We start from the raw sequence: 16,827 nt of genomic DNA on the forward strand, positions 1-16,827 counted from the left end.
AGGCCTCTCTGGTGGCCAGTAAAGAACGGACCAGTGAAGGTGTTATTCCAGAGGCTGGGAGACCCTCAGGAGGCCCTTGTGATGGTTTAGGTGGAAGACAGAAGGGATCCCAGCAAAGGAAATGAGTCACAGAAGCTCCCCTAGAAAGTGATTTCCATCTGACCCATTGGGGCAGTGAGGCAGGTGTCCCCGGATGTTTCTTCCATGAACAGCAATTGAATTGAATGCCAAATTTGAATTTGGATAACAGCCTCTCGTCCTAGCAAACCAGATTAATACTAATCACTTTCCCTCCCCACACATATCCAGCTAACTTTCCATAAAATGCTATCCTTAATAAATCCAGAAAACAAACAAAAACCTTCAATGTCTACAATAAGATTATAGTATATATATAAGAAATGTCTGGCCGAGCACCGTGGCTCATGCCTGTAATCCCAGCACTTTGGGAGGCCGAGGCGGGCAGATCACGAGGTCTGGAGATCGAGACCATCTTGGCTAACATAGTGAAACCCCGTCTCCACTAAAAATACAAAAAATTAGCCGGGCGTGGTGGCGGGCGCCTGTAGTCCCAGCTACTTGGGAGGCTGAGGCAGAAGAATGGTGTGAACCCAGGAGGTGGAGCTTGCAGTGAGCCGAGATGGCGCCACTGCACTCCAGCCTGGACAACAGAGGGAGACTCCATCTCAAAAAAAAAAAAAAAAAGAAATGTCTTTATTTTCAGAAATGCAAACTAAAATCTCTAGGGATGAAATCCTGTGATATTGGTAACTGACTTTCAACATATTTCAGCAAATAAAAAATGAACGCATCAAAAACAGCTCCAATCTCTACTGCCTTCCTCCTGGCCCATGACTTGGGAAATGCAGGGCAGGGTCAGCCTGCCCCAGGATCCCACACACACTTCTAGGAGGTAGGTGTCTCTGGATCCATGTGGCCTGTGCATGTGATGAGGGGCCTCTTGCTCCTGCAGAAGAGCCATCTGTGCTTTGCAAAAGAGGTCAGAGTCCCAAGCCATAGCAGCCAAGGGCAGAGACCAAAGTCCAGACCTGTTCCTGAAGCTAAACCACTGTTGCAGGTACCTTTGCTCTCCGTGATCTTTTGCCAATGACCCAAAAAGAAGCTGTGAATTTCTGACCCTGCACTCATAAATGCTGGTGTCCATCAAGCCCTTACCATGTGGCCCAATACTTTATATGCATTATTATCTTTCCTAAACTTCACAACAAGCCTATGGGAAATATACTATTTTCTCCACTTTGCAGATGAGGAAACTGAGGCTTAGAGTACAACCTGTGCCATCATACAGGTCCCCACACCTGGGAAGAATCCATGCTTGGCTTAATGCTCTGCTATCACCATCATAAAATTCTTCATACATTTTATAGGAACCCTACATTCGCATTCTGCACAGGACCCTGCAAGTTACATAGCCAATCTCACTCAGGTCTCACGGCTCACTGGTGGTGACATCAGGGGTAATGCAGGCAGTAGGACTCCAGCACCTGCCTGCCATCCATGACAGTGTTAGAAATTTCATGTAAGTGGCTATTTGATTCCAGGCTGCTAAAAGCCAAAGCCAGGACAGACACCAGGCTCTGTTTGATACCCAATTCTCAACACTTTTTTTTTTTTGAGACAGAGTCTCGCTCTGTCACCCAGGCAGAGTGCAGTGGCGTGATCTCGGCTCACTGTAACCTCTGCCTCCCGGGTTCACGGCATTCTCCTGCCTCAGCCTCAGTAGCTGGGACTACAGGTGCCCGCCACCACGCCTGTTTAATTTTTTGTATTTTTAGTAGAGATGGGGTTTCACCGTGTTAGCCAGGATGGTCTCGATCTCCTGACCTAGTGATCCACCCACCTCAGCCTCCCAAAGTGCTGGGATTACAGGCGTGAGCCACCACACCCAGCCCCAATTCTGGACTCTTAACTCAGGCAGGACAAACAGTTGGTGGCCTGGGCCCACCCAACTGCCGTGCTCAGTTGCCTTACTCCCTCCACTCTCAGCCTCCTTGAGAAGCACCTTTCCTCTCTCGGCCACTTCTGTTTCCTCCACAGTGACCTTGGAACGGTGACTAGGAGTGCTGCAGGTGGTGGCCTTAGAAGGACAGGGGCCAGCCCAGTCCCACTCTCCGGCTGTCACTGAAGAAGCACATGCTCCTCAATGGAGGAAGACAGCTTCAAAGAGCATCTGAGTTTTAGGAAGGGTAGGAGACAGCTGGAACAGAGGCCGATTCTGCCAGCTGTCATCGGTCTCTGATCTCCTGGCAAGAAAGCTGGCCATAGAGTAAAACCTCTTTTTAAAAATTCAGCAAACCAGGAGACATACCCTCAGGGTGTAGCTCTGAGGTTCCAATATACATATTTTCCCAGGGCTGAGAAGACTGGAAATTTCTCCAGCAAGATCAAATGCAATGCATCTCAACCCAGACCCACCAGGGCAAAAGCAGAATCTGTCCCCGAAGGTCAACGACATCATCACTGACATTGAGTCTAGCTCAGGCTCTGGAGCTGGTCTGCCTGGGCTTGAATCCTAGCTCTGATGCTCGCTAGCTGATTGGCCTTGGCAAGTTATTTAACCTCTTCATATCTTTGTTTCTTCCTCTGTAAAACAGAAATAATGATGCCTGCATCAGGGTTATTATGAGGCATAAACAACTTAATATATGTGGAAGAGGAGCTTAATAATTGCTAGTGATTAAAGTTGATATCATCATTTTCAAGCTCTGCTTAGGGACCTGAAGAAATGCTCATTCCCTACCTAATGCAAGCGGGGCTTAAAACCTAGATGACGGGTTGATGGGTGCAGCAAACCACCATGGCACGTGTATACCTATGTAACAAACCTGCATGTTCTGCACCTGTATCCCAGAACTTAAAGTAAAATTTTTAAAAAATGTTCATTCCCCCGGAAGTAGCCCCAACCTTGCCATGCCCTAAATCCGCTGCTCTAAAATCCCTAACACAAGCAAGAAGTATTGCCTCTTCTTGACCAACTGCAAGGAAGTGCCTGCTTCTCCAGGACACCTACAAGGGCAGCTCACAGAGCCATGCCCCTCGGGGGACTTCTTGACCTTGGTGGTGGAGGCCTTGGCAGACGCTCAGGTGTTTGGTTCCATATTTGCTTCCAGATAAGACTGTTTAGTAGACATGCAACTGCTTAGCTATGCCCCAAGGCATGGGGCAAGCCACCAGCCAGGGAGGGCCCACTTCCTCTGACTCATCTGCACACATGACAGGCCACCAGCCCCATCCGCCAATAGCAAGGCAAAGCTGACTCAGGCAACATGAGATTACGAGAGCATCTCCCTCCCCTCCTACTTCAGTCCACAGCAATCTGTGCCTCCAACCTTCTTTGTGCTACAAAGATAACTCACTGGTCCAGGATTATCATGGTACCTCTGTGACAGGCTCATCAGCAGGGCTGCTCTTGCCAATCTCTTACTGCTCAGAGCCTGGCCCTTGTAGCTCTGCCTGCTCTTCCCTGGTCCTGAACCTTGCTTCTGCTCCTTGGACTCCCAGGTTGGGCTTCTTCCTGGTCAGTCTTATGCAGGTCTGACCACAACTAGTCCCACTATGAAGCCCATCAGAAATGAGGTCAATGCATCACTGGCCCAGTTTCACAGAAAGATGGACGGGGGCACAAATGGCTGCTGGAATCCAGGTCCTGACAAATAGAGACTTGATAGAGCATGGTTGAATATTTCTCACATAGGGACACAAGTCCAGAAGGCATATGGCATCTCTGAGTACTGGATGTCATACCAGGAGAGTCTCATCTCAAAAGGAGGTGATGATCATGTATTTGGCCTTCAAAGCCCATGCTGCTATAATTTTCTAAGATCTGAAATCTGAGTAATACAACAGCAGTCAGCTTCATGACCAAGAGCCCATCCTTGAGGGAAACTGACTCTTCCTCCTCTGATGAGTGACTTGACTTTCCAGGCAAGTAAAGCAGGATTGAGCTTACTCCTGGGTCTCAGGGTTGCCTCCCTGGCCTGGGGCAGAGCAGATGAAGAGGAAGTGGGTGTTGATTCTTAGTGGTTTGGGGCTTCAACCTTGTCACCTACCTTTCAGGCCTAGCCTCAGTCCTGACTCAACAGGAGAGGCCAACACACCCAACTCCACTTCCTAAAGGCTTTGGTGCCCAACCCCAAGTCCTGATCACTACTCAGGAAGGAAATACAAGGAAATGCCTTCCAGGTAGGAAAGGAGGTATAACCATATGTAGATAAAAAAGGAACTTTCCATTTCTGTAAATTGAAGTCTTATTCACACAAGAGACAGATTGCAGGGGGCTGGATTTATGGGGTAAGATGATTAAATTCTGTGTCCTCTTTCATATGTCATGCTTTATCACGCATTACTAAGGATCTGATTTGGTGGCAATTTGTTGATTTCTTCAGTTCTTAGCTCAGTTACAAAAACGCAGTGAGCAGGACTTGGGTACCCTGCCAGTCAGCTCCTTAGGGTCAGAGAAACACCGTCAGTCCACAGTGCTTTATAACCACCCAACCACCTTAGACGGGGCCTTGGTATTCACTACCCACTCGTCCTCCCCTAGCAACAAGCACCAACAATCCAACATATACGTAAGACTTGTGGGAAGCCCTTATTTGTCTTTATAGCCACAGAATGTGGTACATTTAAGTTGTTCCATAAATGTTTTTGTTTTTGTTTTGAGACTAAGTCTCGCTCTGTTGCCAGGCTGGAGTGCACTGGCGCAATCTCGGCTCACTGCAACCCCTGCCTCCCAGGTTCAAGCAATTCTCCTGCCTCAGCCTCCAGAGTAGCTGGGACTACAGGTGCATGCCACCACGCCCAGCTAATTTTTGTATTTTTAGTAGAGACAGGGAGGGTTTCACCATGTTAGCCAGGGTGGTCTCGATCTCTTGACTTCATGATCTGCCTGCCTCAGCCTCCCAAAGTGCTGGGATTACAGGCATAAGCCACCACGCCTGGCCTTGTTCCATAAATGTTTTTAAAGAAGAACATGCTCCCTGAAATCCAGCCCATACGCCATTCAGTCTCTGACTCTGTCTCTGACAGAGACACTCAAGAGTGAGCTGGGAGAAGGCCTGGCTGTCTGACATCACCTAGGAGGCTGAGGTCTGACCCAGTCTTCCAGACCCTAAGAAGTCTCACAGAGAACCCAGCACTCGGCTGCACTTAAGGCTTCCACAGCACGCTGTTCCAGCATCACCTCCAGCTCCCTATGGGAAGCCCACACACCTGGCCAAGGGACACTGGAGCATGCACTCCCTGCACAGTCCTCTCAGCCACTCTAGCCCTTTGCTCACGTTCTTCTCTGACCCCAGAACAACCTCCCTACCCTTCTCCAAGCTGTCCCTCAAAACCCATTGATCACTTAAGAATCTCCATAGCAGATCTTTTGTACTTGGCATACTGAACTCTGACCACATGCTGGGCAGTTTGCTGGATGACAGGAGTACCAAGAGGACGAAAACACATGCCTGCTCTCAGGCCACTCAGACTATCGGGGGAGGTGAACAGAGGAACAAATGGCTGCAACTCCTGCACAGTCAGACTGGCTGGGGTGAGTCTCAGCCCCACAACGCACTAGCCGGGTGACCTGAAGCAAGTCGCTTAACTTAAAATGTCTGTTTCCTCTTCTCTCATATGAGGACAAGCATGGTACTGATTTCACCAGGCCGTTGTCGCAGTTGTATGAATTAATATAATTAAAGACAACATTTATTTTACTCAAAAATTACTGGAGTAAGAGGAGTGAAGGTAATGCACAAGCTATATTACTTGGTTTTGTACCAAGCTCTTATCAGATTGCTTTCACTAGATTGGTGCCCTGTGCACATGGCAGGCCCTCAAGAAATGTTTGTAACCCTTCCTTGAACATGCTCTGCACTTTACCCAGCTTTTCTGTTCTCATCACCTCTTCAACATTGTTTGTATAAAAATTATGTATTCTGCAAGGATGAGATCAGATGCCACCTCCCCTAATTAGGTTTACATGCTTCATGATTCCCAGACGAACAACTTCCCTGTCTTGTTTTTGGATTTCTCAGGCATCTAAAAACAGGTCCTCACCACCTTCAGTTATACCCATCCATATAGGTATACTATATGCTCCTATCAGACCACAGCTCCTTGAAGACAAATACTGAGATTCATGCATTGTTATTTGGGGCCAAGGCTCTAGCGACAGAACAATTAAAAAGCAGTGCTATTTCTGTAGGGGAGCACTCCAAAACTCCTTTCCAAAACCTTTTTCTCATAAGCCCATGAGCCAGAATGGCTTTCCAGAACCTCATTTTTATCAAAAATAGAAACCAATCTGACCACGCACACTTTATATCAGAGTGAAATGGAACATCCCAAACTTTTATCAACATGCATTTTCTGTTCCCGGTATATAATAAAGGGTCCCAATGTTTATCTAACATTTTTCTGAAATCAGTATGTAACACTCTCCACTTCTGAATCTGATGGGGCACCAGTCAGTTTCATAGTCATCACTGGAGAGACTCTGTGCCAGATTTTGTCTTCAGTTGTAACACAGGATCACATGGTCACTCTACTGAGCTATTCCCACCCACACTCTTGGTTCTAGGGATGATGAAGGGAAAAACAAAATGGTTCTAGCACCTGGATGCAGACCGTTGCATGTTCGACGTCCTTTTCTTGTGCTCCATATGAAACATGTCCCAGATCCTTCACGAGCAACCCTCCACTGTTCAGTTTCATAGGAGCGCAGAAAACAAGTCCAGTTTCAAGTAGGTAGTAATTTCTGTTTCATTTCATGAACAAAATAGAGATGCAGCAATAAATTACATGATTTGAGCCCTCATTAGTAGACAGTAAATGTCACTGTTTATTAAAAAGCTAATAATCCATTCAATTTTTTAAATTAAGCAATAAGACTCTAATATAATAAATTTGAATAATTAAGCCTAATATTAATGGAGTGAAAACATGAGGGAAGAAAGAAGTTCTAAAATCTTTATTTTTCCCTCCACATAAAACATGTTAATAATGATCCCACAGGTGAAAGAAGTTTCTATGTGCATACCAGTGGAGTACTTATTTGTCAAAGCAAGAACTCACACGTATGCTTAGATGGCTGGAAATCTCTAGGGAAGTACAGAGAACTCTCCTAACTCAGCCCTCACTATTGACTCCTAGCTCTATTTTTACCTGATCTGTTTTTATTGCTGGACTCCACTCTCTTTCCATTACATACAGCCTAAGAATTTTCTACTCCAGCTAGAAAGAGCTCTGACTAGGACACAAGTTTACAACCAGGATGGTTGGTCTGTACGTGCTGTCTTCTCCCTGCTCAATAAAAGGAGAGCATCCTTGTGTTAGAAATAGCTTGGTATCTGCGGCCATACCACCCTGGACACACCTGATCTTGTCTGATCTTGGCAGCTAAGCAGGGTCTGGCCCAGTTAATACTTGGATGGAAGAAACAACTTTGCACAACAGTTCTAAACAAAGCACAGTTTGAACTTATTCTTCCTGCCACACAGCCTTCCCACCACGTGAGGCCGTAGCATCATCTCTGCTTGGAAACTCTACACCAAGATTGCACCATCACGCCCTGAAGAAGGCAAGAAGCCTTTTCTCAGGCCACTGAATATAGGCTTATGTAAACAGGCAGTATAACTCAGTAGGCGGAGATGAAACATTTGCACTTCTCTCCAAGCATTATAATGAGAAAGCAAAACTCTTTATACAAGCTAAACCCTTTTCTACATTCTTAAGTGTCCAAACAAACTTTTCCCCAGCAGCCTGCACTTCTATGGCTTTGCATTATTGGGATAAGCCAAGAGGGAGGGAACAGGAGCCTTTCCTCCTAAGCTCAGAGAGATCAAAGAAAACAAAGCTAGAGAGTGTGAGGGATTCTGCTTGGTGAGCATTTCTCAGCAGAGTGGACTTTCTGTGTCTGGGCTGCGGGCCCCTGAGTGTCCGGTGCTCTGAGGACACCTTCAGTGGAATCTGTGGAAGGTACACATCAGATCTGCTCCCAGTAATAATGCCCTGCTTTGCAGAGGCTGTTTTGCTTTCCCAGGTGCTTTCATGTCTTTTATTGATCAACAAGCAAACACTTACTGAGCGCCTATCAGATGCAGGGCCCCAGGTGGAGTTATCTCACCGACAGATCATCTCACGGCCCCAGTCTTCAGATATATGTGCCACTCTGAAAAGAAAATAAGGCCCAGATCTGCCTTCAAGATGTTTATAGTTTATTTGGAGACATAAGCAGAGTCCCACAGAAAGAGAAATAATACTGCAAAGCACTCTATTTTAAGTTAGTCTTCCTCAAACTTTGATCATAATCACAACCACATTAGGAGCTTATTAAAAGTCAAAGGGGCCTGGATCACATCTTTGGAGATTCTAATTCCATGGGAATGAAGCCTGGGTCCCTGTATTTTTAACAAGCAGCCACAAAGATTAAAAATTTAAAACCTAAGACAGTGCCTAAGTGGCAAATGAGACAGTCACTCCTGTTGGCCGAGGTCAAAGGACTCCAGCAAGGTCAGACATAAAAGAGACCTGCAAGGGCAGACAGGAGGCTGAGAGCAGAAAGGCAGAAAGGGGCAAGGTAGGAAGTTAGGAGGGAGAGGGGGATAGGGTCCCAAGAACAAGTGCAATATTCATGTAGGGGACAGAATGCAGAAAATTCTGGATGTAGGAGAAGGCTGCCCTAGAGGATTGAGAGATCAAGACAGACAGGTAGGTCTGGAGTCCAGGGCCGTGGGACTGCAGTCTGGGCCCTGATATTTTATCATATCAAAGTAAGGAGGATCATGAATGACAGGTGTTTACTTTAGCCTGGAGGCAAAGGGTGCCTCAGGAATGGCAGGGCCATGAGAGCAGAGAATTTTAGACAGAGGTCCCGTGCTAGGCCTGGATTGAAACCATCAGGAAGACCGGAAGCTGGGCCCAAGGTTCTAGTAAGATATTTTAATATCCTGTTCTACCCTCACCACAGATCAACGAACTCAGCAAGATAGATAATATTATCTTCTTTCTGTAGAGAGAAAACTGGAGCACAAAGTGGCCAAACAGCAAGAGGAAACCTGGGGAAGCCAGAACAGCCATGTGGCTGGCGCTCATCTTTGACAAATCAATCCACTGCATTTCAAGCCTATTCAACATACATTTATTGAGTGCCTACTACCAGCAAGAAACAAGAAGCAGCAAGATAAACGGAGTGCCGTTCCTGCCCTCAGGGAGCTCACCTCCCAGGGGAGGAGCTGGCAAACATTTTCTGTGAAGAACCGGATAGTGAATACTTCAGACTGTGCAGGCCAGTTAGTCTCTGTAGCAAATGCTCACCTCTGACATAGCACAAAAGTGGCCATGCACAATACACGAACAAATGAGCATATCTGTGTTCCAATAAAACTTTATTTACAAAACATGCAGTGGGCCGGATTCGACCTGTAATGTACCAATCCCTAATCTAGTGGGTAAAACAAACCCCTTCATGGCTACTTATAAAACAAGAGAGGTGTGTTATAAATAAAACGACTTTGCAGCCCAAAGGAAAGATAGAGTAATTTAGTCTGGCCATGGATGACTGGGGAGGCAGCACTGGAGTAGGACAAGTACTTAGTTTTCTAGGTCTCAGTTAAAACGATGGGGCTGAATCAGAAGCACATGGACGGCCCTTCTTGTTCCCGTGTTCTCTGACTTGGATGTGGTGCTCCTTTCCTGCCCAGAGTCTTCCAACTGCACAAACAACGTGGCCTCTCCCAAGCTCCCTGGGCCTCTCCTCACCTCTACCATCAAGTTTTGAATGTCAATTAAGGAATAAAAATTCCTAAATGATCCTGGAAGGCTGAACACACACACACACACGCACAAAGTGTGTGTACATCCTACTGTGTCCGGAATTGGTGGGTTCTTGGTCTGACTTCAAGAATGAAGCCGCAGACCCTCGCGGTGAGTGTTACAGCTCTTAAGGTGGCGCGTCTGGAGTTTGTTCCTTCTGATGTTCGGATGTGTTCGGAGTTTCTTCCTTCTGGTGGGTTCATGGTCTCGCTGGCTCAGGCAGGAGTGAAGCTGCAGACCTTCGCGGTGTTACAGCTCATAAAGGCAGCGTGGGCCCAAAGAGTGAGCAGCAGCAGGATTTATCGCAAAGAGGGAAAGAACAAAGCTTCCACAGTGTGGAAGGGGACCCGGGTTGCCACTGCTGGCTGCGGCAGCCTGCTTTCATTCTCTTATCTGGCCCCACCCACATCTTGCTGATTGGTCCATTTTACAGAGAGCCAAGTGGTCTCTTTTGACAGGGTGCTGATTGGTGCGTTCACAATCCCTGAGCTAGACACAAAGGTTCTCTAAGTCCCCACCAGAGTAGCTAGATACAGAGTGTCCACTGGTGCATTCACAAACCCTGAGCTAGACACAGGGTGCTGATTGGTGTGTTTACAAACCTTGAGCTAGATACAGAGTGCCGACTGGTGTATTTACAATCTCTTAGCTAGACATAAAGGTTTTCCAAGTCCCCACCAGACTCAGGAGCCCAGCTGGCTTCACCCAGTGGATCCCGCACCGGGGCCGCAGGTGGAGCTGCCTGCCAGTCCCGCGCCGTGCGCCCGCACTCCTCAGCCCTTGGGTGGTCGATGGGACTGGGCGCCGTGGAGCAGGGGGCGGCGCTCCTCGGGGAGGCTCGGGCAGCACAGGAGCCCACGGAGGGGCAGGGAGGCTCAGGCATGGCGGGCTGCAGGTCCTGAGCCCTGCCCTGCGGGAAGGCAGCTAAGGCCCGGTGAGAAATTGAGCACAGCAGCTGCTGGCCCAAGTGCTAAGCCCGCTGAGCCCACACCCACCCGGAACTCGCGCTGGCCCGCAAGCACCGCTGGCAGCCCCTGTTCCCGCCCGCGCCTCTCCCTCCACACCTCCCCGCAAGCTGAGGGAGCCGGCTCCGGCCTTGGCCACCCCAGAAAGGGGCTCCCACAGTGCAGCAGCGGTCTGAAGGGCTCCTCAAGTGCCGCCAAAGTGGGAGCCCAGGCAGAAGAGGCGCCCAGAGCGAGCGAGGGCTGTGAGGACTGCCAGCACGCTGTCACCTCTCACTACCACCGCCAGATGCTAAGTCTAAATTTATTTAAATTTCTAAAGGTTTTCTCCCTCCTTCCCAGAACCTCTCCCTCCTGAAAAAGGTCCAGCTGCTTCTGTACCAGACACTCTAGCGAGACTCAAATGTTCTTCCTGACCAAATGCCCACCTCAAGAAGAACCTGGAGCCAGGAAGAAACCAAGGGTGGCCACACACCTCATCTGCCCTGCTGTGCTGGTGCCAGGCGAGAAAACAGAAATAGAGCCACGGAGCTCAACAGCAACACCTCATATGGTGCCAGCAGACAGCGAGCAAGGCCCAGGCAGATAAACACATTAAGGCAGGCTGTGCAGCGCAGGCCACGTCCAGGCCTCAGAGGGACTTCATCTCAGCCAGCCAAGGTCAACTCCATTCTAAGGCTTAGTCAGCCTCCTCCTCTGGGGGCTCAGACTCCCCTGGCCAAGATCACTCATGTACCAAGAGGATTGGACAAGGCCACGAGTGAGGCCAGGTGCCAGCAGGGCAAAGGCAGGCAAAAGGCACCACAGATCGCATGTGGTGGCAGCAAGCCAGCTGTGTATAGATTCAAGCCTCAGACCCACCTCTGAAAATCCTACCCTACTCAAGCCTGACCACCTCCTCCAGGAAGCCCTCCTGGCTCTTGCTAATTAGCAGTAAATTGTGTGTTCTCTTAACATCTAGAGTAATACTTCTCAACATAGGGTTGCGAGACCAGCATCATCAATAAGCACCACCTGGGAAGTTGCTGGAACTGCTGTTGGAAGTTCTCAGGCCCCACCCAGGCCAAGCAACTTAGAAACTCTGAGGGTGGGACCCAGCAATTGGTGTTTTAATAATGTCCTCCTAGTGATTCTAAAGCAGGCTGTGGTTTGGGAGCCACTAATCCAAAGTCTAGATTCTAAACCACTAACTGGACACCTGTGTTTTACATGCAATCCCTGTGCTCCTGGCTTCCCTGGGAATGTGGTTGCATTTCAGAGCCTGGATCGCACATGCCCATCAATCCCCCACCTTGCCCAGCCCAGGATGCCACAGCAAGTACTTCCTCAGCAAACACCTGTGGAATTTAATTAGCTTGAGTTCAGATACCACCATCAGGTTACAAAATCACAGAACCTGAATGCTGAAAGAGGCTTTAGTGCCCATCCAGCCCAACTGCCCATCAAGGCTCTGCCAGGACCCAGCTTCTCCACGTTTCTCTCAGGTCAGGTCAGATGCTCCACTAATGCCTGGGAGTTCAGTCTCATTCGTTCGCCCAGCAAATATTGACTGAGCATGGGTGCGAGGCACACACAGATGTTCCTGCACACAAGTGAACGAGACCAATGAGAATCCTTGCTCGGAGGGAGCAGATATTCCAGTGGCAGGAGAGACCCAATCAATAGCAATAAATAAATAAAACAAAAAAAAACCCATATGCTTTAACCATTAGAAAACATCAGACACACCAAAATATACAGACCGCCTATGAAAATAACTAACCAGCACTCTTCACCAATGTCAAAGTCATGAAAGGTAAGGAAAGACGAGTCACAAAAGCACACTAAGGAGACATGGTGGGTACATGCAATGTGGGACCCTGGACTGGATCCTGGAAAAGAAAAACAGCATCAGTGGGAAAAGTGATGATATTTGAGGAAGGCTTAAAGTTTGACATGCAGTTTTAGACCAACATGAAACTTGTTCTTTTCTATAGTGATGTAAGATGTGAACAATTACGGGAAACTGGCTAACAGGTAGACAGGAATTCTCTGTACTAATTTGCAAATTTTCTGTATAATATTTTGATGGCAAATCCAGTTGGGAAAGATGGTCCAAATAAGAGGTGAGGTGCAGTTGGCATCCTTAAATAGAGAAGTGACATGTGGGCAAGATGACATTTGGGCAAGACCCAGAGGCAGGAAAGGGGCCAACCAGTGGCACTGTGAATGACATGAGGCCAAACTCAGTCTTGCCAGGATGTTTACCCGTTTGTGCTTGTTCTTCTATCCAGATGAATTCTGACCACGCTTTGAACACTTACAATAATGCTGGAGGACCCTCAGTCTTCTCTTTAGAGGAGGCCTCACAGTCCTGCAGCTGTGCCCACTGAGTGTGCCCCGGCAGCCTGAGCCCCTGGAGTGGACAGTAAGAGAGAGCGCACAAAGGCAGTGGGGTCCAATAAAGACCAAGGTTGAGACCAGGAGCACCTCCACCTTCTTTGTTCTGGAATTGCCCTGGTCTCTTTTTCTTGCCAGCAAACCACTTTAGTTCCTACTTTCTCCTCTCTTTGACCCTGTGCCCAAGCTTCTCAGCATGTGAGCTTCTCCTCTAAGCACTGTCCACATGCGCCCAGAACCTTGAGCAGTGGAGCTCAGAGCAGGGTTGACGTGAGTAAGCAGACATGAGTCAGGCTGAGACTCCACCTAATGACTAAGGATCAACGTCCCACCCAAAGTTCCCATGTCTAGCCCTTCAGAAAGGACAGGGAACCATAATCCAAAGTAAAACAGCCTACTCCCTAGGAATGACAGCCCACAGTCCTGAGTTCTAGGGACCTCAAATAAGTCTCTCCCTTCCAGGCGCCAGGTCACCATCTATAAAGCGATACATTTGGATTAGTTAATCCTCAAGATGCTTTCCAGTTCTAACACTGCATAATCAGTAATGTATCAAATGAAATTGTGCAAGGTAATTGCAGCTTTGAAGTACAATGTGGGGTAGTAATGGTAGCAGTGATGAGATCTATGGGCTCCTACCCCAAGTGAATCACCAGAATTGGAAATGGTAATTGTTACTATTAATATAATAATGTCTTAAATTGCAGAGTGCTTTTCCATTTACAAAGCATTTTTATACACATTATCTTGTGTGATCCTCATAAGAACCCAGTGAAAGTGGTAGGAAAAATGTTATTTCTTTGGCATAGATGAGGAAACAAAGTTCAGTGGCCATTCAATTAGGAGTGACGGTGCTCAGCCCTGAGCGTAGGACTCAATGCCTCATCTTCTTTCTGCTGCTTGGTGCTGTCTTTGCTACTCCAACAACCTGTGCAACCATCTGTGATTTTGTCTCTCTAGTTTTTGACCAGGTTAGTTCAAGGCATCTGCACAATAAGGAAACCCAGGCATTCCCCTGGAGGGGAAAGCATCCAAATTGTGCCCAGAGCTGCCTTGGCTCGGTCCATCCATTGGGCTCCTGGGAGCACAGTCCTCGCCAGGAGGGGAGGTAGCAGTATTCTCCATTTGTCTCCCTGCAGCTCAAAATAGAACAGATGATGTATCACAGCTGATCTCACTGCAGCATCAGATGTTTTAAAATAATTAAATAAAGAGAAATGGGAGTGTGAAGAAAAAGGCCCCAATTTTTCAACGCTAGTGTCCCATGAAAGTGAAAAGAAAGGGACAATGGTCAAAGTCAAGGTGAGGGGGCAGCTCCCCCAGAGGTGCCAGGTTTACAGCCGTTCTGTCCCTGCCATCCAAGCTTTCCTACCAGTAGCAATACTGTCACCCCTCACCATTCGGTTGCAATTTGCAAAAGGCAAGAGACAACTTCCTTTCTTGCCACACTCTAGGATAGAAGAAGCACTCCAGCCAGCCACCAATTTCCCCTCGCTAAGCAGCCCTTTTCTCCCATGCCCACTACATGCAGAGGGTGACCCAGGCACACCCAGAGTGGGTGCTCTTGTGTCCTGTCGGATGGGGCCAGTCAGCATGAGAGCTCTTTGTTCAAACCCCGTCTCCCTACCATTTGTGTCCCTACCTAAGTGCCTACCCTTGCCCACGACACTTATCTCCCTAGACCTCAGTCTCCACGGTTCTGAACTGGGAGTTAGAAGCACTCATCTTACTTCCTCATAGGGTTGTCAGTGCTATGAGGATGGAGTGAGATCACACTTGAGAAGACACTTCAAAAACTTACAAGTCCCACAGGGCACTAAGAGACCATGGTTCACCAAGCACCTGGTCAGGACTGATAACAATGGCGTATGGCTGGCCTTTCCCAGCCTCCCTCCAGTTAGATGGACTGGAAGATCAAGTTCTGGCCAGCAGAATGTGGGCAGAGTATCTGCTCTATAAAGCCTTCACACACGATCCTGCTCCCTCTTTTTCTCCTCTGCCAGCTGAAGACCCAGAGGAGGATTCTGGGTACCTAGAAAGGGCAGAGCCACAGACACACCCTTTGATTGTGTTACATGGCTGGAGTTGAGGGTTGCTTGCTACAGCAGCTAGGCCACCTGGACTAGCAAAATGTCCCAGTGGAGTAGCTGCCTAGAAAATCTCACAATGAGGTTGTAAATTCAAGTGAGTGGAAAAAAAGGTTTTAGTGGTCGGGCGCAGTAGCTCACGCCCGTAATCCCAGCACTTTGGGAGGCCAAGGCGGGCAGATCACGTGAGGTGAGGAGTTCGAGACTAGCCTGGCCAATATAGTGAAACCCCATCTCTACTAAAAAATCCAAAAATTAGCCGGGCATGGTGGTGGGCGCCTGTATTCCCAGCTACTGGGGAGACTGCGGCCAGAGAATCACTTGAACCTGGGAAGTGGAGGTTGCAGTGAGCCAAGATCACGCCACTGCACTCCAGCCTGGGTTACAGAGCAAGACTCTGTCTCAAAAAAAAAAAAAAAAAAAAAAAAAGGTTTTAGTAGCAAACAGTCAAGTTTCCTCATAATTCTTCCACCCAGTAATAGGATAAAAATGAGACCATATAAAAGATGTACCCCGGCACATGGACTTCGGGGCCCCATAGTTCTGTGACGTCTGTGTTCAACCTGTTTGTGGAACAGTCAGTACAGCACACACCAAAATGCAGCTCCCATCTAGATTGTTGCTGAGGTGCTCTTCCTTTTCTCAAACACCTATTAATAGATTTACACTCCTGACAATAAAGAAGCGCGGATCAACCTCTAACTAGCCAGACAGGCTAGTTTTTGTTTTGTTTTGTTTTTTGAGATGGACTCTCACTCTGTTGCCCAGGCTGGAGTGCAGTGGCGCAATCTTTGCCTCCCAGGTTCAAGCGATTCTTCTCCTCAGCCTCCCAAGTAGCTGGGACTACAGGTGCGCGCCATCATGCCCGGCTAATTTTTATATTTTTAGTAGAGACTGGGTTTCTGACCCATATTGGCCAGGCTGGTCTCGAACTCCTGACCTCGTGATCCATCCGCCTCGACCTCCCAAAGTGCTGGGATTACAGGCGTGAGCCACTGCCCCCAGCCCAGATAGGTTAGTTTATCCAATCACAGTATCAAATGCCCTCCTAATGTGGACAGGCCATGCTGGGCCACATAAGAGACTAATAAGCCACTAGAAAAAAAGTGGGGGACAAAGGACATGAAAGACAATTCACAAACATAAAACAAATGGCCCCCAAACATGTAATGTTCACCCTTACTCATACAAAATAAATCACGTCTCACCCATTAGACTGGCAAAAATCAAAAAGGGTGGCAAGATCTCGAATTGCCGAAGAAGCAGGGAAAAGGCACTCACTTGTACTATCTGTGGACAGGGACACTGGTTCCTCTCCAGAGATCAATTTCATAATATCTATCAACTTGTAAATGGCAAGTCCCTTTCAATTCAGCAATTCCACTTCTAGAAATCTATCCAAAAGAAATCCTCATACATGCATAAAAAGACTCATACACAAGATTATTCATTGTTTGAAGTGCAACAGATGGGACATGGCCTAAATGTCCAACAGTACAAATCACACAAATACATTTGGCTACTAAACAGATGAAAAGTCTACCCCAAAGTTTACACGATCCTGCTCCATAACATCC

General features: G+C 47.8%; 1 protein-coding gene and 1 pseudogene across 53 annotated transcripts in view, besides 1 other annotated feature; one reads left to right on the forward strand and one right to left on the reverse strand.

The window, feature by feature from the left end:
- The window catches only part of KCNMA1 (potassium calcium-activated channel subfamily M alpha 1), a 768,207-nt gene that overhangs the window by 710,091 nt on the left and 41,289 nt on the right, over window positions 1–16,827 (reverse strand). The window lies entirely within an intron of this gene.
- On the forward strand, window positions 7,357–7,467 carry RNA5SP321 (RNA, 5S ribosomal pseudogene 321; annotated as a pseudogene).
- Window positions 12,802–12,990: a silencer, noted in NCBI's record as "fragment chr10:79352252-79352440 (GRCh37/hg19 assembly coordinates)". NCBI's record gives its function as "represses an EF-1alpha promoter that drives an FKBP-Casp9 reporter gene in an ReSE screen in phorbol 12-myristate 13-acetate-treated (for megakaryocytic differentiation) K562 erythroleukemia cells {active_cell/tissue: K562(+PMA)}" and the evidence as "EXISTENCE:reporter gene assay evidence [ECO:0000049][PMID:32094911]".

This window comes from Homo sapiens, chromosome 10 (genome assembly GCF_000001405.40).
Source record: "Homo sapiens chromosome 10, GRCh38.p14 Primary Assembly".
Taxonomy (NCBI): domain Eukaryota; kingdom Metazoa; phylum Chordata; class Mammalia; order Primates; family Hominidae; genus Homo; species Homo sapiens.